This window comes from Homo sapiens, chromosome 6, assembly GCF_000001405.40.
Source record: "Homo sapiens chromosome 6, GRCh38.p14 Primary Assembly".
Classification (NCBI taxonomy): Eukaryota; Metazoa; Chordata; class Mammalia; order Primates; family Hominidae; genus Homo; species Homo sapiens.
Window position 1 is genome coordinate 61,187,505 of NC_000006.12, and position 26,757 is coordinate 61,214,261.

The following is a 26,757-nucleotide window of genomic DNA, read 5'->3' on the forward strand; positions in this document are numbered from 1 at the left end:
CTGAATGGGCAAAAAGTGGAAGCATTCCCTTTGAAAACCAGCACAAAACAAGGATGCCCTCTCTCACCACTCCTATTCGACATAGTATTGGAAGTTCGGGCCAGGGCAATCAGGCAACAGAAAGAAATAAAGGGCATTCAAATAGGAAGAGAGGAAGTCAAATTGTCTCTGTTCACAGATGACATTGTTGTATATTTAGAAAACCCCGTTTTCTCAGCCCCAAATCTCCTTAAACTGGTAAGCAACTTCAGCAAAGTCTCAGGATACAAAATCAATCTATAAAATTAACAAGAATTCCTATACACCAATAACAAACAGAGAGCCAAATCATGAGTCAACTCCCATTCACAGTTGCTACAAAAAGAATAAAATACTTAGGAACATAACTTATAATAGATGTGAAGGACCTCTTCAAGGAGAACTACAAACCACTACTCAAAGAAATAAGAGAGAACACAAACAAATGGAAAAACCTTCCATGCTCATGGAAAGGAAGAATCAATATTGTGAAAATGGCCTTACTGCCCAAAGTAATTTATAGATTCAGTGCTATCCCCATCAAGCTACCACTGACTTTCTTCACAGAATTGGAAAAAGTTACTTTAAACTTCATATGGAACCAAAATGAGCCCACATAGCCAAGACATTCCTAAGCAAAAAGAACAAAGCTAGAGGCATCACACTACCTGACTTCAAACTATTCTACAAGGCTACAGTAATCAAAACAGCATGGTACTGGTACCAAAACAGATATACAGACCAATGGAACAGAACAGAGGCCTCAGAAATAATGCCACACATCTACAACCATCTTATCTTTGGTAAACCTGACACAAACAAGCAATGGGGAAAAGATTCCCTATTTAATAAATGGTGTTGGGAAAACTTGCTAGCCATAAGCAGAAAACTGAAACTGGACCCCTTCCTTACGCCTTACGCAAAAGTCAACTCAAGATGGGTTACAGACTTAAATGTAAGACTTAAACCATAAAAATCCTAGAAGAAAACGTGGGCAATACCTATCAGGACATAGGCATGGGCAAAGACTTCATGTCTAAAACACCAGAAGCCATGGCAACAAAAGCCAAAATTGACAAATGGGATCTAATTAAGCTAAAGAGCTTCTGCAAAGCAAAAGAAACTATCATCAGACTGAACAGGCAACATACAGAATGGGAGAAAATTTTTACAATCTATCCGCCTGACAAATGGCTGATATCCAGAATCTACAAAGAACTTAAACAAATTTACAAGATAAAAAAACAAACAACCCCATCAAAAAGTGAGCAAAGGATATGAACAGACACTTCTCAAAATAAGACATTTTTGCAGCCAACAAACATATGAAAAAATGCTCATCATCACTGATCATTAGAGAAATGCAAATCAAAACCACAATGAGATACCATCTCATGCCAGTTAGTATGGTGATCATTAAAAAGTCAGGAAACAACACATGCTGTAGAGGATTTGGAGAAATAGGAACACTTTTACACTATTGATGGGAGCGTAAATTAGTTCAAACATTGTGGAAGACAGTGTGGCGATTCCTCAAGCATCTAGAACGAGAAATGCCATTTGACCCAGCAATCCCATTACTGGGATTTATAATCCCAAAGGATTATAAATCATTCTACTATAAAGACACATGCACACATATGTTTATTGCAGCACTATTCACAAAAACAAAGACTTGGAACCATCCCAAATATCCATTAATGATAGACTGGATAAAAAATATGTGGCATAAAAACACCATGGAATACTATGCAGCCATAAAAAAGGATGAGTTCATGTCCTTTGCAGGGACATGGATGAAGTTGGAAACCATCATTCTCAGCAAACTATCGCAAGAACAGAAAACCAAGCACTGCATGTTCTCACTCATAAGTGGGAGTTGAACAAGGAGAATACATGGGCACAGGGAGGGGAGCATCACACACCAGGGCCTGTTGGGGGGTTGGGGGAGTGGGTGGAATAGCATTAGGAGAAATACCTAATGTAGGTGATGGGTTGATGGGTGCAGCAAGCCACCATGGCACATGTATACTTATGTAACAAAACTGCACGTTCTGCACATGTACCCCAGAATTTAAAATATAATAATAATAAAAAAGCCAGATGTGTTGGCCTGTGCCTATAGTTATAGCTACTTGAGAGGCTGAGGAAGGAGGATCACTTGAATCTAGGAGTTTGAGGCTGCAGAGAGCTATGGTTATGCCACTGCACTCCACTCTGGGTGACAGAGAGAGATCTCATGCCTAAAATAAAAATGAAAGAAAGACATACACTTTGAAAGGTTATAGCGGCCATAGATAGTGATTCCTCTAATGGATATGGGCAAAATACATTTAAAACCTTCTGGAAAGGATTCCTATTGTAGATGTCATTAATAACATTGGTGACTCATGAGAAGAGGTCAAAATATCAATATTAACAGCAATTTGGAAAAAGTTGATTCCAATCCTGTGGATAACTTTGAGGAGCTCAAGACTTCAGTGGACAAAGTGACTACAGGTGTAGTGGAACTAGCCAGATAGCTAGAATGAGAAGTGCACCCTAAAGATGGGACTGAATTGCTGAAATCTCATGATAAATATTGAATGGATGAGGAGTTACTGAAGGAGCAAAGAAAATGGTTTCTTAAAGAGCAAAGAAATTTGCCCTTGGTGAAGATGCTATGAGCAATGTTGAAGTGACAACAAAAATTTAGAATAGCACATAAACTTAGTTGATAAAGCAGTAGCAGGGTTTGAGAGGATTGCCTTCAATTTTGAAAGAAGTTCTGCAGTGGGTAAAATGCTATCAAACAGAAACCAACCACCACCCTGATCATTCAGCAACCAACAACAACAAAGCAAAACCCTCCACCAGAAAAAAGGTTACAACTCATTGAAGGCTTAGATGATTGTCAGCATTTTTTAGTAATATTTTTAATTAAGGTCTGTACATTGTTTTTTTGACACAATGCTATTACACACTTAATAGACTACAGTATAGTGTAAACATAGCTTTTATATGCACTGAGAAACCAACAAATCTGTGTGACTTGCTTTATTGTGATATTTGCTTTTTTGCAGTGGTCTAGAACTGAACCCACAATTTCCCCGAGGTATGCCTGTATTATAAAGATTTGGAATTGTGTAATATCTTTCTCTTGATTAATAAAGTTTTTTTCTCTGAAGTTCTTACAAATTTCAAAGGAGTTAACTAACTTTTAAAACTCTTCTAACTCTTCCATTTTATTTGATAAAAAGTACACTTCAGAACTCTTGCATAAATCTTAGAGTTTGTGTGTCAGGGAAAAAATCTTACGTCAATTATTTTCTATATACAAAGAATTAAATTTCCAATCTTGAAGCTTGGATATAAATAAATATATATACATAATTCTTAAATATTGATTAATTGCTTAAATATCGAGTCACTCACTTGTTTATCCAACAGAGCTTTATGAGCTCTTTCTGTATTATGAAAGCAAAAAATGCATTTACATTTTTGCTTACATACTGTGTCTACTCTGTAACTGAGGCCCCAAATAAATTTGATTCATGCCAAAAATTTTGCTGGGCACCTTGAAAGAGAGATATCCTATGAGATAGTCATAGCAATGCAAATTATTTTTACACTGTGCTATATGTGTTTCTGAAAAAAAAAAAAGCTATCCTAAATCTTTGGAATCCACCCAAGAAAAAAAAATCAGAAAATGTGAAATTGTCTAAGTCCACTGAATCAGTATAGTTACTGTCTATAAGATACTCCTAGGCTCAGAAATTATGTGCTCAGGAGATAAAGCATACTTCTAGAAATCAGGGCTTTGTTCTCCAGGAAACACTAAGGCTAGTAATCAAAATGAAACAAAGGCACCCAATGAAGATTCCCATAGGTAAAACTGCTTCCTAAGTGGATGTTTGATTGCTCTCAGCTTCTCCTTTTATGTTCATCTTTCTACCACAAAAGCCCATTCTCTGTGGCATTTCATAAGGTTGCTAATGATTTACTGTTGGTAGATGCAGGAGCCTAGAAGGGAGGTACACAGAAAGAGTGCATTTCTTAAAATGTAGGACATAAATAGATTTCAAAATTTTTGTCCCATTACTTTCACTTAGAAAAAAAAGGAATGTATTTTCTCCAAACATTTTCTGGTTACCATGGATCACTCTATGGATCTTTTCTCTATTCAAGGCAAGCTACTGCTATGCCTCTTTGGGTCTTCTTACTCTTGGAAAGAACCATTACATATCCATTCCCCAAGTGGACATGCCCCTGTTCAACTGTCACTGAAGTATCAGGAGTTATGATATAATGGTGCGGTGGGGAACAAGAGGTCTCTGCATGACCAAGAGCTTATTGTGGGAAATGAAACACTCCTGTTTATAAATGCTCCTTCAGCCATTCTCATTTGCCATCACAGGGTGTAGCATTCTGGCTTTCCTTGGTTTGTTGGCCTCCTTTCTCTTCCTTCTAGTGACTTTCTACTTACACTTTCCACTTCTCAACTTGTCAGGAAATTCAAAAAGTCTTATTTTATAGTACATTAAGGGCAACATAATGTTGGTTTGTCTCTCTCCTCAGCCTTCATAGCTATGTCTAAGCCTCATTTTCCATGTTTCATGAAAGCATTTTGCTAAACAAGTGTAAACCTAAAAGTATCTGAGACAAGTGTCAATCAATTTTGAGGTTTATTTTGCCAAGATTAAGGGCATGCCCAGAAGAAAAAAAACACAAAATCACAGAAACAGTCTGTGGTCTGTGCCTTTCTCCAAAAGCAATTTTGAGGGCTTCAGCATTTAAAGAAAAAAATGTGGGCTGGAGGGGAAAGAGGGAGAGTATGGTAATCCACATGTTGCCAAAGAAAAGAAACAGGTAGGGGAATACTCAATTATTTATACATGCTGTGCTCAGTAAATCAGTACTTTATATAAGATAAGGTGGATATAGAGTAGCTACCTGTGAAGATATTTAACACTTTATTTGTAGCTATCTGCTTAGGAACAAAGGAAAGGCAGTTTCTTGCATTGTTATGGGATACTTCAGTTGCTTCACCAGCTGGAAACCTCTGTGGCTAGTGGTGCCTTTACCTGAGTTTTGCTTGGGCCTGCTGGGCTTATTTCACCCACTCAGCCGGTGGGCTGCACTCAGCTTATGTTACCAACCTGGATCCCACACCTGCAAAGGACAAGCCAGACACAGAGTGGTGAGTGGTGCAAGAGTGAATGAGTGTGTGGTCCAGCCACTGTGCACAGCCAAGCATGCTGACTGCAGCAGGGTGGGCAGCCCCAGGTGCTGTCATGGGCACTGGCTCCCTGCGAGGCTGCAGCTGGACCAGGAGTACCACAAGTGGCTTCCATGGCAGGCACAGGGGAACATGGTGTTGCCCAGAAGTTTGGAGTCACCAGGAATCACCAAGCCCCAAAGAGAGTGTCACAGTCCTGGCTCAGGGAGCTCCTAGGTCTGGGATCCCCAAAAGGATGCAGCTCTTCTCTCCTTCTCATCACCTGTAATGTGGCAAGTGGAGGTCGTATTTCAGCTCGGTTTGTGTTACAGCTCTTTCAGTTTCACCCCTGCCATTCAGCAGTCCTGAGTTCTTGTCCTACATCCAGGAAGAATGAGGTACTCAGAGAAGTGGAGAGTGAGAAAAGCAAAGAGGTGTTTTATTGAGCAACAGAACAGCTCAGAGGAGACCCACAGTGAGTAGCTCTGCTCTGCAGACAGGTTGTCTAAATGTCTGCTCAGCTCTCAGCAGAGAGAATACCCACAGTGGGTAGCTCCTCTTTGAAGGCAGGTCATCTTGATGTCTGCCTGAGTAAGGCTCAGTCAGGGGCTTTTATGGGCTTCAGAGGGGAAGAGGGTGTCCTGATTAGTCCACAGGCAGACATTGGCAGGCCCAGAAAAAGCACAGTAAGTTCTCACTCTGGTCTGTGGAACTGGCAACCTGGCCCCCAGGCTTCAGGCCATCCCAGGCCTAAAGGGGGAGCTTCACTGGGGACCCACCCCTTTCCATCCAGGAACTTGTCTTCCTCCTAACACCATTAACCTGCCACCCATGGTGGCCATGGCACCCAGGCTGTCTGTGTCAAGTGGTGCCTACAAGCCCATGCCAAGTCATCCTTAGTCCCCCTTCAGCCTCTCTCCCATGCTCATCAGTGCTCAATGTTCAGAGAGGGTCAAGGCATCAGCAGGCTGGTGTGTCAACACTGCCCTGAGCATGAGCACACCTGGCCAGGTCATGACAGCACCCAGGCTCAGCCACAACTTCACTCTAAAATTGGAGTGGGTGCTGGGAGTGGGCAGAGGCCAGGCAGTGGGAGCAGGCACTTCCAAGCCTGTGGGGAAGGGGGGCTTCCTGGGCCCCCGAGAGTGCAGAGATGCCTGAGTCCACAGCCATGACTGGGCTTCTGCAGCTGTGCCTGGGAGAGTGGAGTTCCAGCCCCAACAACTTGGAAGAGGGTGGGGCTCCCACCTGTTCTCAGCTCCTGCCAGCTCCACAGAACATGTAGCCCTGGCCATGCCTCCCCTGCTGCAGTTGGTCTTTTTGCAGCAGCTGCTCAAGACAAGCCACCGCTGCCATCACCCTGCTTCACCCGAAGAGGTACATCTAACTGCCATTAGGATACAGACAATGACCACTCTTAACTCCTTCATGCTGACAGGGGGCATTCTGGGAAAAATGGCAGTCAGATCTCTCTCAGAGGCCTATCTAAAGGCCCCTGGTAAAAGGAGAGCCATTTTCTGAGGCTCCAGTTGCATGTCCACTTGGAGTTTGATGGTTTCTAGGTGAGAAGAAACAAATTTTACAAGGAGGTTAAGTATGCAAAGGAAAAAATCTAGTGCCAAAAGATAACAGAAATAAGAAATAAAATAGACTAATCATTCTGAAAACAGTGTTGTGGCTAGAGCTGTTTCACCCTGGTAAAAGGAATTAAATCTTGTATGGAGGCAGTTAAACTTTAAAAGAGAAATAACTGTTTAGGGGAGTAGATAATCCCTTGGGAGTTCAGGATTAAGGGGTCCTTGATGAAGATGCCCTATGGCAAGGAAGAAAAGTGAGAAGAGCAAGCATAGGATATTCATGGAGGGTTAATTGTTAGTAATTCTCTTTTGAGATTGTTAGCTTGAGGTCCCTGATTTATTCACTCTGGTACTTTGGGTGCTCTCCTGGGTCAATGGAGGTAATTTCATCAGTTTCCCAGGACTTCACGCTAGTATAATGAATTCAAGAATCTATTCCAGTGACATTTACTGCCGTAGGTGTAGAAAGAAGTACAGTTTAAGGTCCCTCCCATTCTGGTCCTAGAGAGGAAAAAGGGAAGGAAGTGCCTTTATCAGGACTAAGTCCCCTGGGTTGAATAGAGGTGGCCTAGTTCATGGTACTGGGCCTCTGACAGTTGTTTCAGTTCATGTTGGAAATGGGCCAAATAATGTACATATTTAGTTAAATCAGAGGTTTCTTGGTCTAGCAAGAAATTATTGGTGAGTAAAGGTCATCCACACATCATTTCAGGGTTACCTAAACTCAGATTTGAAGGGGTATTTCTAACACATAGTAGGGCTATGAAGAGAAGAGTAATCCAAGGGAGATGAGTCTCTTGAGACAGATTTCTGAGGTGCCTTTTAATAATATCATTTGTCTTTTCTACCTTTCTTGAGGAGTGTGGTCTCCTGGCACAATGAAGATGGTATTCTATGCCTAGTGCCTTTGAGATACCCTTTGACAGCTGCCTTGAATGAGGGGCCATTATCTCTCTGGAGGCACCCAGGAAGTCCAAAGTGAGGAGTTATTTCATTAATCAGTACTTTTATCACCTCAGAGGCTTTCTCTGTTCAACATGTAAATGCTTCTATCTAGTTAGTGAAGATATCTACCCATACTAGGAGGTACTAGATGCCCCTTGTCTTTGGCATATGGTTGAAATCGACCTGCCAGTCTTCCCCTAGGTAGCTTCCCATTCTTTGGGTTCTGGTGGGGAGAAGATGTCGACTGAGAAGATTATGTTTAAGGCAAGTCTCACAATGAATGACCCATTTGACTGTTTTTAGTAGATTTTTACCTGAGAGCAGCCTTTGGGCCACTTGATAGGTTTTATCCTTACTTAGCTGGAAGGCATGGTGGAGAATTTTGAGAACTTTCCATTGGTTGGTAGCTGGTAGATGAAGCTTGCCATCCTCCAGTTGCAACCATCCTGAGGACTGAAGTGTGTATCCCTGAGAGGTGGCCCATTCTCTCTCTGCAGAGGAATACTGAGGTTTTATTTCTTTCATGGAGCCCTCCCAGATCAGAGGGGCCTCAAGTGGATCAGAAATATAGGGCCCTCTTGCTGCTGGTTTAGCTGCCTGGTCTGCCAACTTATTTCCCTCAACTCTTTCGTCCATCCCCTTTTCATGGCCTTGACAATGTATTGCTTCCACTTCTTGTGGAAGGAAGGCCAAGGATAATAGTCTGTTAATTTCCTGATGGAATTTATTGGGAGACCCATTGGCTGTGAGGAACTTCTTCTTTCCAGATAGTGGCAAGGGCATGGAGGACTAGAAAAACATATTTAGAATCAGTATAAATGTTAACTGGTTTCCCTTTGCTTAATTCAAGTGACCTCATGAAGGCAATTAGCTTAGCTAGTTGAACATTTCTGTCCACCGAGAGAGCTGTGCTCTCAATAATGTCACTTAGGGTGGCCATTGCATACCCTGCCTTACAGATCCCTTGCTCTACAAAGGAACTTCTGTCCATAAAGGGAATCTAGTCTGTGTTCTCTAAGGGGGTTTCTTTGAGGTCCTCTCTGGCCACAGGTTTGCACTATTACCTGTTCGCAGCCATTTTCAAGCTCCTCATCTTTCTCTTGGAGGAAGGTGGAGGAAGGTGGCTGGGTTTAGGGAGGGACAGGTTTGTTTGTCTGTTAGTTTTTTTGAGACAGAGTTTTGCTCTTGTTGCCCAGGCTGGAGTGCAATGGCACGATCTAGGCTCACCACAACCTCTTCCTCCCGGGTTCAAGAGATTCTCCTGCCTCAGCCTCCTGAGTAGCTGGGATTACAGGCATGTGCCACCATGCCTGGCTAATCCTTGTATTTTTAGTAGAGATGGGATTTCTTCATGTTGGTCAGGCTGGTCTCAAACTCCCAAGTTCAGGTAATTTGCCCATCTTGGCCTCCCAAAGTTCTGAGATTACAGGCATGAGCTGGGAGGGGCAGGTTCTTAACTGGACTGCAGATGCCTCTAATAGCAAAGCTTGATATTTGAGGAAGCAGCTGTCCATTAGCCAGAGACTCCCTTAAGACAACAGTTCTGTCACATTATGTGGGATGTAAATGGTTAAGTTATTCCCCATTGTTAACTTATAGCTTCTGGTACTAGCGAAGCTACTGCTGCAACTGCCTGGAGGCAGGCTGGCCATCCTTTAGCTACCAAATCAAGCTCCTTGCTTAGGTAGCCTGCAGACTGCTGAGCTAGGCATCAGGCCAGGGTTAGAACTTCCAGAGTGATTCCCTTCCTTTCTGAGACATAAAGATTGAACATCTCCCCATTGGGAAGACTAAGAGCTGGTTTATCAAGCAAAACCTGTTTTAATTGGTCATAGGCCCTTTTAGCCTCTGGTTCCCAAGTTAGGAAATGGGTCTTAGCTGCCTGAGTCACCTTTATTAGATGATATACGGGATGAGCTATTTCACTGTACCCATGTATCCATAACCAGCAAAATCCTGTAATACCCTAGAATCCCCTCAATTGCTTGATGGTTTGGGTAAGGAAAAAGGAGGAGATGGGCTTGATCCTTTCTTCACCTAGTGCCCTGGTTCCCTCTAACAAGACTAGACCTAGGTACTTCACTGAAAGCCTGACAGAACCGAGCCTTAGATTTTGAAACCTTCTAGACTCTGTTAACGAGAAAGTAAGAAGAGCCTTGCTGCCTTCCTGAGAGATTTCCTCAGTTGGGGCACAAAGGAGAATGCCATCTACATATTGTAAAACTTTAACCTGATGATTAAGGGACTCAAGAGAGATCAATTAATGATGTCTGCCCAAACAGGTGGGGGCCATCTCAGAATCCCTGAGTTAACACAGTCTAGATTAACTGGGTGTCTTGGTTGGAGGGATTCTCAAATGCAAACAAATACTGGGAGTCAGGGTGTGATATGGTTTGGCTGTGTTCCCACCCAAAACTCATCTTGAATTGTAGTTCCCGTTATCCCCATGTGTGGTGGGAAGGACTAGGTGGAGATAACTGTTTCATGGCAGTGGTTACCCCATCCTGATCTTCTGAGAGTGAATTAGTTCTCATGAAATTTGACGGTTTTATAATGGAATTCCTCCTTCACTAGGCATTCCTTCTCTCCCCTGCTGTCCTGTGAAGGGTTGCTTTCTGCCATACTTGCAGGTTTCCTGAGGCCTCCCCAGCCATATGGAACTGTGAGGCAATTAAACTCCTTCCTTTTGTAAGTTACCCAGTCTCAGGAACTCCTTTACAGCAGTGTAAGAATGGACTAATACAGTAAATTGGAAGCTGGTAGTGGGACGCTGCTGCAAGGATACTCAAAAAATGTGGAAGCAACTTTGGAACTTTCAGAGGTTAAGTCAGAGGCTAGGTAACAGTCAGAGGTTAGGACAGTTTGGAGGGCTCAGAGACAGGAAGATGTGGGAAAGTTTGGAACTTCCTAGAGAGTTGTTGAATGGCTTTGATCAAAATGCTGATAGTGATATTGACATTAAAGTCCAGGCTGATGTGGTCTAAGATAAAAATAAGGGACTTGTTGGGAACTAGAGTAAAGGTCACTCTTGCTAGGCATTTTGCCCCCATGCCCTAGAAATCTGTGGAACTTTGAACTTGAGAGAGATAATTTAGAGTATCTGGTGGAAGAAATTTCAAAGTGGCAAAACACTCAAGAGGAAGCAGAGCATAAAAGTTTGGAAAATTTGCAGCTTGATGATGTGAAAAGAAAGAAAAACCCACTTTGTGGGGAGACATTCAAGCCCACTGCAGAAATTCACATAAGTAATGAGGAGCCAAATGTTAATCACCAAGACAACGGGGAAAATGTCTCCAAGGCATGTCAGAGATCTTCAGAGTAGACCCTCCCGACAAAGGCCTGGAAGCCTACAAGGGAAAAATGGTTTCACGGGCAAGGCCCAGGGCCCCCCTGTTCTGTGCAGCATCAGGACACGGTGCCCTGCATCCTAGTTGCTTCAGCTTCAGCCGTGGCTAAAAGGGGCCAACATACAGCTCAGGCCATTTCTTTAGAGGGTGCAAGCCTCAAGGGTTGGTGGTTTTCACGTGGTGTTGGGCCTGTGGGTGAACAGAAGTCAAGAACTGAGGTTTGGGAATCTCTGTCTAGATATCAGAGGGTATATGGAAATGCCTGGCTGTCCAGGTAGAAATTTGCTGCAGGAGCAGAGTCCTCATGGAGAACCTCTGCTAGGGCAGTGTGGAAGGCAAATGTGGAGTCAGAGCCCCTACACAGCATCCACACTGGGGGACTTCCTGGTGGAGCTGTGAGAAGACAGTCACTGTCTTCCAGATGCCAGAATGGTAGATTCACCAACAGCTTGCACTGTGCACCTGGAAAAGTGGCAGACACTCAATGCCAACCCATGAAAACAGCCAGGAAGGGAGCTGTACCATGCAAAGACACAGAGACAGAGCTTTCCAAGGTTGTGGGAGCCCACCTCTTGCATCAGTGTAACCTGGATGTGAGACATGGAGTCAAAGGAGATCATTTTGGAACTTTAAGGTTTAGTGACTGCCCTATTGTATTTTGGACTTGCATGAGGCCTGTAGCCTCTTCATTTTGGACAATTTTTCACATTTGGAATGGGTGTATTTACCTAATGCCTGTAACCCCACTGTATCTAGGAAGTAACTAACTTGCTTTCAATTTTACAGGCTGATAGGTGGAAGTAACTAGCTTTGTCTCAGATGGGACTTTAGACTTGGACTTTTGAGTTAATGCTGGAGTGAGTTAAGACTTTGGGGGACCATGGGAAAGGCGTGGTTGTGTTTTGAATTGTGAAGACCTGAGATTTGGGAAGGGCCAGGGGTGGAATGATATGATTTGGCTGTGTTCCCACACAAATCTCACCTTGAGTTGTAGTTCCCATAATCCCTATGTGTTGTGGCGGGGACCAGGTAGAGATAATTGAATGCTGGGGCCAGTTTCTCATCCTGTTCTTGTGATAATGATTTAGTTCTTATGGTAGTGAATAAGTCTCACAAGATCTGATGGTTTTATAAGGGGTTTCCCCTTTCACTTGGCTTTCATTCTCTCTTGCCTGCTGCCATATAAGACATGGTTTTGCCTTCCACAGTGATTGTGAGGCCTCCCCATCCACGTGGAACTGTGAGTTCATCGAATTTCTTTTTCTTTATAAATTACCCAATGTCAAGTATGTCTTTATTAGCAGCATGAGAATGAACTCATACAAATGGTATGCAGAAAAAGGAATCCTTTAGTCCAGGCATGTGAGCCATTTGGTTCCCTCAGCTATTTGAGTTAGAAGGGTATAGGGATTGGGGACCACAAGATAAATTGGAACCACAGTTTCATTAATGAGGTGGAGGTCCTGGACCATTCTCTATTTCCTGTTGGGTTTTTGTCCCTCCAATATTGGGCTATTATGCTGTTGCAGGGTTTGAGGAGGTCTTTCATCCTCAAGTTATTGATGACGGCTTCTAGTCCTTTTCTAACTTCTTATTTTAGGGGATAGTGTCTCTGGTTAGGAAAGGAGGTAGGATCCTTAAAGTGGATCTGGACCAGTGTGGTGATTGTGGCTTGGCCTAGTTTCCCTTGAGGTGCCCAAACTTCTGGGTTAATATTGGTCTCCACTAGGGTGGAGAAAAAGACTCTGTCTTGGAGCCGTAAGGATGGTGGCTCCCATAGGAGCCAAACTATCCCTGCCCAACAGAAGAGTTGGGCTTTCAGGCATTATTTAAAAGGCAGGAGTAAACAAGAGGTTTCCCCATCTACAGCTAAGAGATTGGGAAAAATATCGGGTTATAGGCTTTCTTGAGGCACCCCTCACTGTTGTGCTAAGAGAAGAGGCGGGCCTGGATTGGAGATGAGAATGGAAAGGCCTGCTTTGGTGACCATGAAGAGTTCCACCTTCCTCCCTTCAACTTCCAAAATCACCCCGGGACCCAGGATGGCAATGGTAGTCTGGATCAGCAGAGCTGGGGAGAGGAGCCCCGGAACCTGTCAGTCCTGCTGGACCATTTGGGAAACTGGCTCTGGACCCAGTGACCTGTGTCTCTGTAAACAGTCTGCCCTCCAGTGGTCCCCATCAGAAATTGGATAGGGTTGAGGTGGCTTCCTTATGTTGCCTGGGCAGTCCTTCCTAAATTGCCCTGGCTTGCCCCATTCGTAGCAGGTAACATGTATATCTTGGGGGCTCTGAGGTTTGTGAGCCTGCAAGGCCACTATTAGAGCCTCTACCTTTTTCTTGTATTTATTTTCTCTTTTTTGGACTTCCTCCCAATCCCTATTGTGAAAGACCAAGTTGGTCACTTTCAGGAGGTTCTCTAAAGTGCTATCTGGTGTTGTAGCCTGTTTTTGCAGCTTCGTCCTGATATCACAAGCTACCGAAGTAATAAACTTATCCTTCAGGATCAGTTGTCCCTTCACTGGATCAGGAAATAGAGAGGTGTGCTTTACCAAGGCCACACTTAGCCTTTCTAGGAAGGCAGTGGGATTCTCATCTAATCCCTTGTCTACCAGGGATGGCTTGTAGTAATTGAGAGGCTTAGTTCTAGTCCTTTGTAAGCCCACTAGTGTGCATGCCTGAAAGTGTTTCCTTTTCCATTCTCCCATTTCACCACTGGGGCCCCATTTAGGGTCCTCCAATGGTACTGATATTTTTCCATTTGGATAAGGCTCCTCCTCTTCCCTGGCACTATATGAGATACAAAGCTCATCCCCAAAATTCTCTGCTTCTTGCAGGGTGACCTGCTTTTCCATGGTAGTCAGGGTTTGATTAAAAACTAACATAACATCCTCCTAGGAGAGCTCAAATACTTAGGTTAAATTCTGCAAAGCCTCTATATACCGGTCAGGATAGTCTGAAAACTTGCCAAGATTCCCCTTAATTTGTGTTAAGTCTTGTAGAGAAAAGGAGACTTGGCCCTTAATGGGGCCATATTCACCAGACATCTGTTTTAGGGGAAGGAGTGAGAGGGGGACTCACCTAAAATGAGGATTTCTAGGATGGGGAAAGTCCAAGAGAAAACCTGGATAGGGAGGAGGGGATGAAGTTTACTCCCCTGCTGGAGGTACCTTTAGGGTTTGCTTACCTAGTTTCCTGGGATTGCCCCTTGCAGCATCTCCTGAGATGGCTGCCAGGAGGACTGAATCAATCCTACAATGTTGGCAAAGGTCCAGACTACCCTGCAAGGCAAAGAAAGCCTGGACATGTGGGACCTCAGACCATTTGCCCTCACATTTAAAGAAAAGATCCAGGGAAAGGAATGTATTGAAATTAATGCTTCCTTTCTTTGGCCATGCTTCTCCTTCCTGCAGAACATAATTCAGTCACACTTTTGTGCAAAGTAATATGAGGTGCATTTTCTAAAGAGTCCGAGGGTCAAAGGAGTCTCAGGGATTCAGGATACACTCTAGAGGAGTGTAGGCTGAAGATGATTGGTTACCCATGTAGTAGAGAGGACAGAGGAGGAAAAAGGCATTTGTTTCTCTTTCCAGACTCTGAGGGTCAAAGAGGTCCCAGTGATTCAGGATGCACTCCAGAAGAATGCAGGCTGAATATAGTTGGTTTCCCATCTGGAAAGAGGAGAAAAAAGGGCACTCTTTTTCTCTTTCTCTTTCCAGTGAATACCAGGGGTATGTGAAGGAGAGAAAAAAAAGGTGTCTCCTTCTTTCTTCTGATCTTATATCTCCAAGTTCTGGTGACATTCGCAGGTGCCGACCATGGGAGCAAGTGTGACCTTCACCCATGAAGCGGGGAGGCATAGCTAGCAGGAATATCCTCAATCACCTAGGCAGAGCCTAAGCCTCCTGCTGCTAGAAATTTTTGAGTTCCCTAGACCTTGTCTGTGTCATGGATATGAGCATAACCTCCATTCATGAAGCAAGAGGGCCTAATTGGCAGAAATCAGTCATGCTAACCTGCATGACTAATTTTGCTTTCCAGGGCTTCAACCCAAAGCTTGGAATTGCCTCCAGAGGGTGTATGGACTCAATAGATCCCAGGTGGCCCTCACCAAACTGCTGCCAGCAGCTGGTGGGGCAGCCCCTTCCCTTGCTTTCCTATCATAAGCAGCTGAAACTGTGGGACCAGGTCCTCCTCAAACAAGGGAGAGAAAGGGAGTCCTGGGCATTGGGTAACTGGCCTAACAAGGTGCCTCCCAAGAGGAAAAATCAATAGAAAATCTCCCTGTATTCATAGAACTTTGTTGACTGCTGACATGATAGAGGAAAGAGAAGAAAACAACTTAAGTGCAGGGGAGGGGAAGGTGCCTGGAGGAAAAAGCTTCTTGCCCTTTGCAAATGGGTTCCTTCAACAGGGGAAAGAAAACTCGATTGTTACATCCTCCTTGCTTCTAAGAATAGACAGAAACCATTGATCCAATTTACACTCTTGATGACCAAGCCAAATGCACACTCTACCCAGTAATATTATCCCTGAGGTTTGCAACGATACCCTTTACATTGTATATAAAGAAGAGACAGTAGGCTTGACAGCCACAAAAGAAAGAAAAGAAAGAGAGAAAGGAAAAGAAAAGAGAAAAGAAGAAAGAAAAAGAAAAGAAAGAAAGAGAAAGAGAGAAAGGAGGGAAGGGAGGGAAGGAGGGAGGGAGGGAGGGAAAGACTGGAGGTCCTAGTGCTGACACCCTAATAGGCAGTCGGGAATTGAGTTACTCCAGAGCCCTTTGCATAACACTGAGTTGTATCCTCAGCCAAATACCCTGAGTTGCCCCAGAACCTCCTTCTGATCCCATGCAATGGCTAGACCTCTGTGAAGGGAAACTGAATTGGAACAAGGCCAACATTCCCAACACCCAAGGGTGATGGGAGATTGACAGTGTCCTCCCCAGCAAGCCTGTCATCCATGTAAGTCTGGCATTCATGCTAGTTGCTTTTTTTTTTATTTTTTTTTTTATTTTTTATTTATTTATTTATTTATTTTTGAGATGGACTCTCACACTGTCGCCCAGGTGGAAGTGCAATGGTGTGATCTTGGCTTACTGCAACCTCAAGCTCTCAGGTTCATGCAATTCTCCTGCCTCAGCCTCCAGAGTAGCTGGGATTACAGGTGCACACCACCACACCTGGCTAATGTTTTGTACTTTTAGTAGAGATGAAGTTTCACTATGTTGGCCAGACTGGTCTCAAACTCCTGACCTTGTGATCCACCTGCCTCAGCCTCCCAAAGTGCTGGAATTACAGATGTGAGCCACCATGGCTGGCTCATGCTAGTTGGTTTTTACTGGCTGACGGAGGCCCAGTATTTTTCTTTCATTTTCGCTTTTGTGGAGTTTAGACTGCAAAAAGAGGACAGAAAACAGCAAGTCTACTTTTACTCATGCTTCCACAGATCCCAGATGAGCCCCCGAAAATGTCACAGGATCCTTGGGGTGTTGTTTCACCAGCTGAAAACCTTTGTGCCCAGTGTCACCTTTGCCCAAGTTTTGCTTAGGCCTGCTGGGTTCATTCTACCCACTTGGCCTGGCAGGCTGTGCTTGGCTCATGCTACTGGCCTGGACTCCATGCCTGCCAAGGGCAAGCCAGGTGCAGAGTGGAGAGGGATGCATGAGCATGCAAGCATGGGGGTCTTTCCACTGCACAGAGCCAGGCATGCTGGCTGCCACATGGCAGGCAGCTACACACACAAGCATGGACACTGGCTCCCTGCAAGGCTGTGGCTGGACCAGGTGTGCCATAAGCAGCTTCCACTGGGGGCACCATGGAACTTGGTGGCACCCTGAAGCTTGGAGTTGCCAGGAACCACAGAGCCCCAAAGAAGGTGTCACAGCCCTGGCTCAGGGAACTCCTAGGCCTATGCTCCCCGAAGGGCCGTAGCTCTTCTCTCCTTCTGTCATCTCCTTCTCATCACTGCAATGTAGTGAGCAGGGGTGTGTTTCAGCCCTGTTTATGTTACAGCTTTTTCAGCCCCGCCATTCAGTGGGTCCTGAGTTCTTGTCCCATGTCCAGGAATAATAAGTTAGGCAGGCAAGTGGAGGGTGAGCAAGGTGAAAATGTGCTTTATTGAGTGACAGAACAGCTCAGCAGAGACCCACAGTGGTTAGCTCCTCTTTGCAGACAGGTCATCCTGATGAGAGTCCAGCTCACAGCAGAGAGGAGACCTACAGTGGGCAGCTCCTCTCCACAGGCAGGTTGTCCTGACATCTGCCCAAGTCTGGCTGAGTCCAGGGTTTCTGTGGGCTTCAGGGGGAGAAAGGGCATGCTAATTTGTCCACAGGCAGCCATGTGCAAACCCAGAAAAACACTATAAGTTCTCACTTCGGTCCACAGAACTGGCAGCCTGCCCACCTGACTTCAGACCATCCCAGGCCTGAAGAAGGGGCTTTACTGAGGACCAGCCCCTTTCCTCCCAGGAGCCTGTCTGCATCCTGCTGCCACTAACCTGCCCTTCATGGTTCCCAAGCACCCAGGCTCCCTGTGCTGAGGGGTGCCTACAGGCCCATGATGAGCCACCCTTAGCTCCCCCCTCAGTCTCCCTCCCATGCTCACTGGCTCCCAATGTCTGGAGGGGGCTGAAGCAGCAGAAGGCTGCCTTGTCAGCACTTCCCCAAACACAAGCACACCAGCTGGGTTGTGACAGTGCTCAGGCTCGGCCACAACTTTGCTCTGAAATTGGAGGGGGCACCAGGAGCAGGGAGAGGCCAGGCAACTGGAGCAGACTCTTTCAAGCCTTCAGGAGGACTTCCCAGGACCCCCAGATGCAGAGATACCTGGGTCTGCAGCCATGGCTGGGTGGCTACAGCTACGCCAGGACAGTGGGATCTCTGCCCCACCAACTTGGAAGGGGATGAGGATCCCTGTCTCTTCCCAGCTCCCACAGGCTCTGTGGAGTGCACAGCCCCAGCCACACTTCCCCCACTACAGCCAGTGTATTTGCAGTGGCCACTCCAGACTGGCTGCCACTGCTATCATCATGACTTGACTTTCAGCTTAATTTTTTTCCTTTTGTGCATAATCAATTGGAGTTCCAAGTTTTTACTTTCCTTTCACATTTCTACATCCCCCTCTTTCCTTTTTAAAATCTTTCAGAGAAAACATTTTAGAAGAAAATTCATCTCTGGTATTGGGTTTTGTCTGATCTCTTCAGCTAGGATGGTTATTCCTAGACAGATAGGTCCCATATTGTAAGAAAACCTCATTTTTAGCAGGGTGTGAAGTTTCATATCCCAGGAAGAAAATATAGAGAGTAAGAAAGAAATAAAATGAGGGGAAAAAGGGGGAAATAATATACAACAACAACAAAAAAGGGGAAACAATCCTAGAAAACTGATATAGGCCATATTATTCAGAAGTCTATACCTCAGCAGGCAGGCATAAAATCGTTCATGTATATAAATAGATTGCTGTCATTTTCTTCTAAAGTTTAAGTGTTTAGCTTCAGTTTTCAAGGCATTAAGTAAAGTACAGCTTAATTTTTAGTGATTTCAAATCAGTAAAAAAATGGGAAAAAAGAAAAATAATAAAGAAGGAAGGAAATAATAACGAAGAAAAAAAACTAAAAACATTATTTTGGAGACTTGTAGCCAGGAAAAATTTTAGGACTCAGTCCAAATTGTAGAAAACAATAAAAGTTGGAAAATATTGTACAAGGCTAGAATCCAATTAACAGCTGTACTATAGTTTATTTTGAAACATAATTTTTCTCTCTCCAATTCCCCAATTTTTTTTTTTAATTATACTTTAAGTTTTAGGGTACATGTGCACAATGTGCAGGTTAGTTACATACGTATACATGTGTCATGCTGGTGTGCTGCACCCACTAACTCGTCATCTAGCATTAGGTATATCTCCCAATGCTATCCCTCCCCCCTCCCCCCACCCCACAACAGTCCCCAGAGTGTGATATTCCCCTTCCTGTGTCCATGTGATCTCATTGTTCAATTCCCACCTATGAGTGAGAATATGCGGTGTTTGGTTTTTTGTTCTTGCGATAGTTTACTGAGAATGATGTTTTCCAATTTTATCCATGTCCCTACAAAGGACATGAACTCATCATTTCTTATGGCTGCATAGTGTTCCATGGTGTATGTGTGCCACATTTTCTTAATCTAGTCTATCATTGTTGGACATTTGGGTTGGTTCCAAGTATTTGCTACTGTGAATAATGCCACAATAAACATATGTGTGCATGTGTCTTTATAGCAGCATGATTTATAGTCCTTTGGGTATATACCCAGTAATGGGATGGCTGGGTCAAATGGTATTTCTAGTTCTAGACCCCTGAGGAATCGCCACACTGACTTCCACAATGGTTGAACTAGTTTACAGTCCCACCAACAGTGTAAAAGTGTTCCAATTTCTCCACATCCTCTCCAGCACCTGTTGTTTCCTGACTTTTTAATGATTGCCATTCTAACTGGTGGGAGATGATATCTCATTGTGGTTTTGATTTGCATTTCTCTGATGGCCAGTGATAATGAGCATTTTTTCATGTGTTTTTTTGGCTGCATAAATGTCTTCTTTTGAGAAGTGTCTGTACATGTCCTTCGCCCACTTTTTGATGGGGTTGTTTGTTTTTTGCTTGTAAATTTGTTTGAGTTCATTGTAGATTCTGGATATTAGCCCTTTGTCAGATGAGTAGGTTGCGAAAATTTTCTCCCGTTTTGTAGGTTGTCTGTTCACTCTGAGGGTAGTTTCTTTTGCTGTGCAGAAGCTCTTTAGTTTAATTAGATCCCATTTGTCAATTTTGTCTTTTGTTGCCATTGCTTTTGGTGTTTTAGACATGAAGTCCTTGCCCATGCCTATGTCCTGAATGGTAATGCCTAGGTTTTTTTCTAGGGTTTTTATGGTTTTAGGTCTAACGTTTAAGTCTTTAATCCATCTCGAATTGATTTTTGTATAAGGTGTAAGGAAGGGATCCAGTTTCAGCTTTCTACATATGGCTAGCCAGTTTTCCCAGCACCATTTATTAAATAGCGAATCCTTTCCCCATTGCCCATTTTTCTCAGGTTTGTCCAAGATCAGATAGTTGTAGATATGTGGCGTTATTTCTGAGGGCTTTTTCTGTTCCATTGATCTATATCTCTGTTTTGGTACCAGTACCATGCTGTTTTGGTTACTGTAGCCTTGTAGTATAGTTTGAAGTCAGGTAGTGTGATGCCTCCAGCTTTGTTCTTTTGGCTTAGGATTGACTTGGTGATGTGATTTTTTTTTGAGAGGGAGCCTTGCTCTGTCACCCAGTCTGGAGTGCAGTGGCACAATCTCTGCTCACTGCAACCTCCACCTCCCAGGTTCAAGTGATTTTCCTGCCTCAGCCTCCTGAGTAGTGGAACTGCAGGCACACATCACCACAACCAGCTAATTCTCAATTTTATTGAAGACAAAATCATAGCTGGAGCAATTTCTTTGTAAACTAAGTTTTATTCTTATTATATTTGGTTTGATTATTTGCATGAAGTTCAGTAAGAATAATCATTTAACAGGCAGGCTCTCTCTTTTTCTTAACATTGTCTTTGCTAGAACCTTTTCCTTAAGGAATCTAAGATTAGACCTGTTTAGAAAGCTTTGGCCCAGCCAAGGATTCATCTGTGCTTGTAGATACCTGTATGAATTAGTTGAATTCTGTTTTCAAAGTCCCAATAAAACTTGGAGTTTCTGGACCTATCAGAGAGTGGCATTCTTCACTTATCACAGGTCAGGACCCTGAAAAAGACAAGGTATGAGGCCAGTTTCTTTCCAAAGGGCTTTTATTGAAGCTATAGATCAGCTTCATTTTCTCAAACTTATCTGAAAATATGTCATTCCAGTCAAGGCCTTGGTAAAATAACCAGTGTCTCCAGTTATTCCTTGTTATAAAAGAAAGCAGATTCTTATTGAACTTATGCAAATAACTATATTACCATAAATTAATAATACTCACAAATAGTTTCCAAATTTTGGATAAATTATGTAGAAAGAAAGGAATTATGTTTTAAATTTTGCTCACTATATTATACTTTACTCAATTGTTAAAAGCTGTAAATAGCTTAAAAGAAAAAATTTTCTTGACTCAAAAACAACAAAAAAAGTATCAGCAAATATTTGTAACAAAAATTCATAAAAGATGATTTCAGTCTTCTGTTAGTATACCCCATACTAACAGCTGATCTGCTCAATCAGAACAACAATTGGAGCAACAATCCTCATGAATACATGGGCTCTCCATGAGGGTTCTGAAAGTTTTTCTCTATTCCGATGGTACAAGCTCTAAAGTTACCAGAAACTTTTATTTAAGAGTACACTGCATAGTTCTGTAGCTGATGATAAATGGTTGTATAAAAGGATCAAAGTAAAACATCACTTGTGGATGACAAAAACATTAGGACAGACATGATAAAAGACACAACAAGGAAATTTGGTTATTTCTGTGGTATACAGCAATTTTACATAATAATTATGACTACTGATAACATATGCTAAGACATCAGAGTCATAATCTCACACAATTTTGGAACACACACTAATAACACAGTAAATAAATATAATCCATAGAGAGGTTATTATTTGACAATGCTACCTTTGTGATTCTATTATTCCAAATAAGCCAAATATGTCTCTTTTTGACTACAGAGGACCTAACATCAAAAAATTAATGGGGTTAAAGGGACCAAATTCAATTTGATTTCTGAAAGAGTTTGTCAAACACTTGATATCACAAAGTAGGATCACAGGTCATTGTAAAATAATTCATTCATTTAGCCAAAGTAATAACTCAAAATTTTCAAAAGAAAAAAACCTTTATTCTTTGAGGGAAGAGACTTAATTTCCTAAACAATAAGCCCTAGTAAAGACAGCATAAGATGACTTAAATCTGTCTCTCAACATTTATAAGCAAATCAACTAAATTTTAATCATCTTGACCATAAGATATAACTTTCACAAAACTTTTTGTAACTTTGCATAATATTTTAATTTAAAAGTAGTTTAATGCTTCAGAAAAACCTTGTTAACTTGACCTAGGGGCCCAGATACTGGTCATGCATCAGTGCGCCTTTGATATTAATGTTTAATTTACAAAGAAATTCTGAACTAATTTTATCTTTTAAAATTGGCCCTTACAGCCTCATGTGCACACCTCTTCCTCAGTAGTCCCTAGGCATAGAGGGGTTTAATAGCTTTAATTCTGGCCCCATGTCTCAGTAATGCATTTTGTTTTGATTGTCATCTTCTCCCGGATCTGAAGATGAGGCTTTAACTACTGTCACACGTTCAGATTTAGCAGGACTTGGATTTTTAGATACAGGAGTCAAGGCCCTGTAACTTAACAGCACAAAGACTTTAAAAGCAATACAAAAACTTACATGGATGTTATAACTTTAATTTTTAAAAATTTTAAAATCTGTTTTCCTAAGCAAATGAAAAACTTAATAATAATGAAATAGAAACTATTCTGATTAAATGTAAAATCCAGTTGTTAGGCCATTACCAAAAGGCAAAAAAAAAAAAAAAAAAAAAAAAAAAAAAAAAAGACTTCCTACATTGTGATTGCTTTCCCTCCATAAGGATTCTATTTACATAACCTGCAAGTCAAAAATGAATAGGGTACTTAATTAATTATATATAGGGAGAATGTGCCCTGGGTCATAAGTGAAGATTTTCACGTATGTTTTCATAGAACATTTTAGACATATTAAGAAAAGCCAAGAGCACAGAATGTTATATTGGAAGAAAACATTCCCTCTAGACCTTTAAGATAAAACATTTTTATCATCAGGCCACAACAGCAGTTAGAACCTGAGGGAAAAAAAATTACAGGAGCTGACAAAAAAGTTGAAACAGAGAATTATTATCTCAGATCTCCTCAAAGGGGAGAGAAACCTGAAAATAACATGATGTAATAGGAGTTAAACTTTTGATTTACAAAATTAAAATCTCTTGTAATTTTATTAAGAGTAAGTCAATATTTTCAGAAAATTTTGTTGTTCTAGCCAATTTTTTAGAGTATTAAAATATTTTAAATATCAAAACCCAATCTCTTGAAAGACTATAATTTCCTCTTAATTATAGCCAACTTGATCAAATGCAGTTTTTTCCATAAATTCTCTTTTTACAAACTTCATTGTGACTTATGTAAACCATTTATGACATGCTTGGACTTTCTGTTTTATTATAACCATCCCTCTTTCTTAAATAGTCATTTTATTTTGTGACAAAGAAGTTACCATACACGATTCTTTCTCATAGAGAATTATTTTCCTTTTAACCTTTCTTACCAAAAATACCTCTTTATGTCTAGAACTTTCTTTACATCTCTGTTATTTACTGGCTCTTTTTACCTTGTTTCTTAAAAAGCCTTTAAATATGATAAAAATTAATTCCTTTTAGTAAAAGTTTTTTAGAAGATTGTTTTCCTATAATATATTTTTTTTAAATTGGAAATGACCAAGATATTTAGTTGGTATATATTATTTAATTTAGTATACCTTTAGATTCTAAATTATATGACAAGTTTTTTATAAGCATTTATTTCCTTATATTTACTTAATTAATTTTAATAGTTTATTTAGATTACTTAAGAAAACTGTGATATTCATTATTTAGTTATTTCCATATTAATTTTTGTAACCTGCAAATTTCAGGTGTTTTCCTGAGTAAGAATTTTAAGGTTAAATAAATATTTTGGTTGTTTTTTCCTCCAATAACTCAGGATTTAATTGTTTTCATTAAACCAACAATATTAGATAACACATTTATCAAAAATTTACAGTAAGATCATTCTGTTTTGGGCTGGGTTTATGCAAAATTTTAAATTTTGACACCTTATAATATCTTGCAGACATTTTAATTATAAAACCATTTGATCAATACATCTAAACAATAAAGCATGCTGACAAATCTGAAAACATCTCTAATTTTATTTTACCAACATATTAAGCAAGCTTTTTTAAAAAGATTTATTTAAGTCATATGAACTTGAAAAGCATCTGGGCTTATTTACTTAACTTTATGAATACTCCTTTAGTTTTAAGCCAATTTGGTACCTTGTGGCCACAACACACAACACACAACCAAACACAAATACATACACATAAACACATAAGCATGCATACACCCTTATACAAACAAAGATCCCACAGCTTTTCTTTTGGAACTTTAGCCATGAGATATCAAAACTCACTAGTATACAAAAAAAGGTTGGATGCAAACTGTGGGTTTTATTTCAACAGAAGTAGAAAAGTCCTCTAAACTAAAAAAATACATTTTCTTAGGAAAAAGCCATAACCTCATTTTTTTTTAATCTTCATCCAAAACATATCTTATTCTCCTGCTATTCTAATTCTTAGTAACCCTAATTCTTAGTTGAGGGCCTAGAATTATTTTATTTAACATAACATGGCTTTAAGATTTTAAATTACTGGAGATAATTTTGAGACTAAATTTATCAAATTAATCTTACCAAAGACTGCAAAAGTCATCTGAACTTAAAAGCCTTTAAGCTAGTTTCTATTAGTTTGATAAATTCTTACTTTTTTAAGCAAATTTTTTAGAGTTGTTTCATATAATTTGGTAGTAAAGTATCACCTCCAGATGGCACATATAAACATATAGACATGACAGACCTAGAGAGAAGCATATATTTTAGATTTATAATTTTGTACTTGCCTGTTTTTTTACTTGCCTTACTTTAGACTATTAATCTCTTGATTATATGTTCCATGTCCTAAACAATTGTTAACTAGGCAACTGTCAATTTGCATCTCCAAAGGCATGACTTAGGTGAAACAAGGTAGAAAATGTACATCTCAATGGCACAGACAGATTGATCTAAGCAAAGTCAAGGTCTGTTATGTAAACTTTAAGCTATAGTCTTTCCCCTAAAGGTCCTAGTGGTTTTCGGGAGAGACAGAGATGCCCTTAAAAAATGTGATTTCTTTAAAGTTGTAAATTTCCTTTACGAAGTATTTAATTAAAGTGATTGATTTTGACAGGTGATCCTTTTAATTTGGCTTCATTAGATTACTGGCTTTAGGGTGGAGTCTTTTAAGGAACAGGGCCAAGAAAGCATGCAGTTTTTAGGGATTAAACCATGACTTTCTTATTCAAATGTGCAAATAAACAAGTAGGTCCCTGTAGTAATGACCATTTCCTGTAAACTCTTTGCAGTCACTCCCTAACGTTGTAGCTCTCATCCACCATTACACACACCAAGATCAGATGCTCTCATAGTACAAAGTATTCTTTGGTATCACCAAAAGCCAAATAAATCAAGTAATACAATGCAAGAAAACAGAGCTGTAGACCTGAGAAGACTCTACCCATGACTCTTGAAACTCCACAAAGAAAGCAGAACATCTCCACAAGAGATGAGTGGTACATTTATTCTGAGTTGTTTAAGGGGTCTGAGTCATTAGATGTCTTCTCTAGGGTTTTTTTTTTTTCCTCAGTACTGAAGATGGCAAAAGGAGAGGAGAAATAGGGTGGTTGAAAGAAATAAACGAAAGAACAATTTTTAAGAAAGAAAGTGAACAGAGAAATCAAGTGTGTGGTTTTGTCTTTCTTTTTGAAACAGTGGGGAATTTTAGTTAGTTCAGAGGCCTTGTTCCTCATAATTTTGAATTCTCATTTGTATTTGGCAAAGCTGGGTAGAGTGGGTCAAATCTGATGGGAGAAAAACCAAAACAACAACAACAACAAAAAACAAACAACACAATTACTAAGCACTCTAATGGTAAAGAGAAATTAATGTCAGCTCGTTGTTAATCTTAACTTTTAGTCATTAAGGACGATTTTTAAGACAAAACCCCAATTTAGCAACTTACCTAGGAATGGGGCCCAGGCTTAATACTGCTCTCTACCACCTTAGAAGCATCAGAAAACTCAAACTTGCCTATCCTGTTGGAAGTGAGCTGAAACTCCAGAAAGAAGTTGTCTGCCCTCATCATCATAGAAGCAGGAAAACCTGCCTTCAGTGGTGGAAGTCGGCCAGAAAAGGAGTTCTACAGCAAAGTAAACCTTAGATCTCAACCAGATTTTAGCAGATTAGGGATTCTCTGGAGGGGAATGCTCCCAGGCCTCAGCAAATTGTCTTATTGGTTTGAGCCATAAAGATAGCCCAGGATGGTACCAAGCTCCCATAGGAGACGTGTCAAAGGTCAGGGCCACCTCCACTCAGAGTTCCTTCCATTGGTCACCAATTAGAAAACCAAAAGGTATCTGAGAAAGTCTCAATAAATTTAGAAGTTTATTTTTCCAAGGTTAAGGACATCCCCAGAAGAGAACATATCATGGAATCACAGAAAGTCTGTGATCTGTGCCTTTTTCCAAAATTGATTATGAGGGCTTCAATATTTAAAGGGAAAAATGGGTGAAGAGGAAAGAAGGAGGGTATCATAATCCACATGTTACAAGGGAAACAGAACAGGAAGAATAGTCAGTTATGTATTCATGTTGTGCTCAGTAAATCTGTACTTTGTATAAGATAAGATGAACATAGAGCAGCTACCTGTGGAGATATTTAACCTTTTATCTGTAGCTATCTGCTTAGGAACAAAAGGAAAGGCAGCTTCTCGCATGACTCAGCTTTCATCTTATTATTATTTTTTTTTTTTGGCATAGTGAATTGGGGTCCCTAGTTTTTCTTTA

General features: G+C 41.3%; 2 annotated features.

Moving 5' to 3' along the window:
• Window positions 5,897-6,397: an enhancer, noted in NCBI's record as "H3K4me1 hESC enhancer chr6:62043813-62044313 (GRCh37/hg19 assembly coordinates)". NCBI's record gives its function as "activates a minimal SCP1, AML or CMV promoter by ChIP-STARR-seq in naive and primed H9 embryonic stem cells {active_cell/tissue: H9 hESC(naive and primed)}" and the evidence as "EXISTENCE:reporter gene assay evidence [ECO:0000049][PMID:30033119]".
• Window positions 6,398-6,898: an enhancer, noted in NCBI's record as "H3K4me1 hESC enhancer chr6:62043312-62043812 (GRCh37/hg19 assembly coordinates)". NCBI's record gives its function as "activates a minimal SCP1, AML or CMV promoter by ChIP-STARR-seq in primed H9 embryonic stem cells {active_cell/tissue: H9 hESC(primed)}" and the evidence as "EXISTENCE:reporter gene assay evidence [ECO:0000049][PMID:30033119]".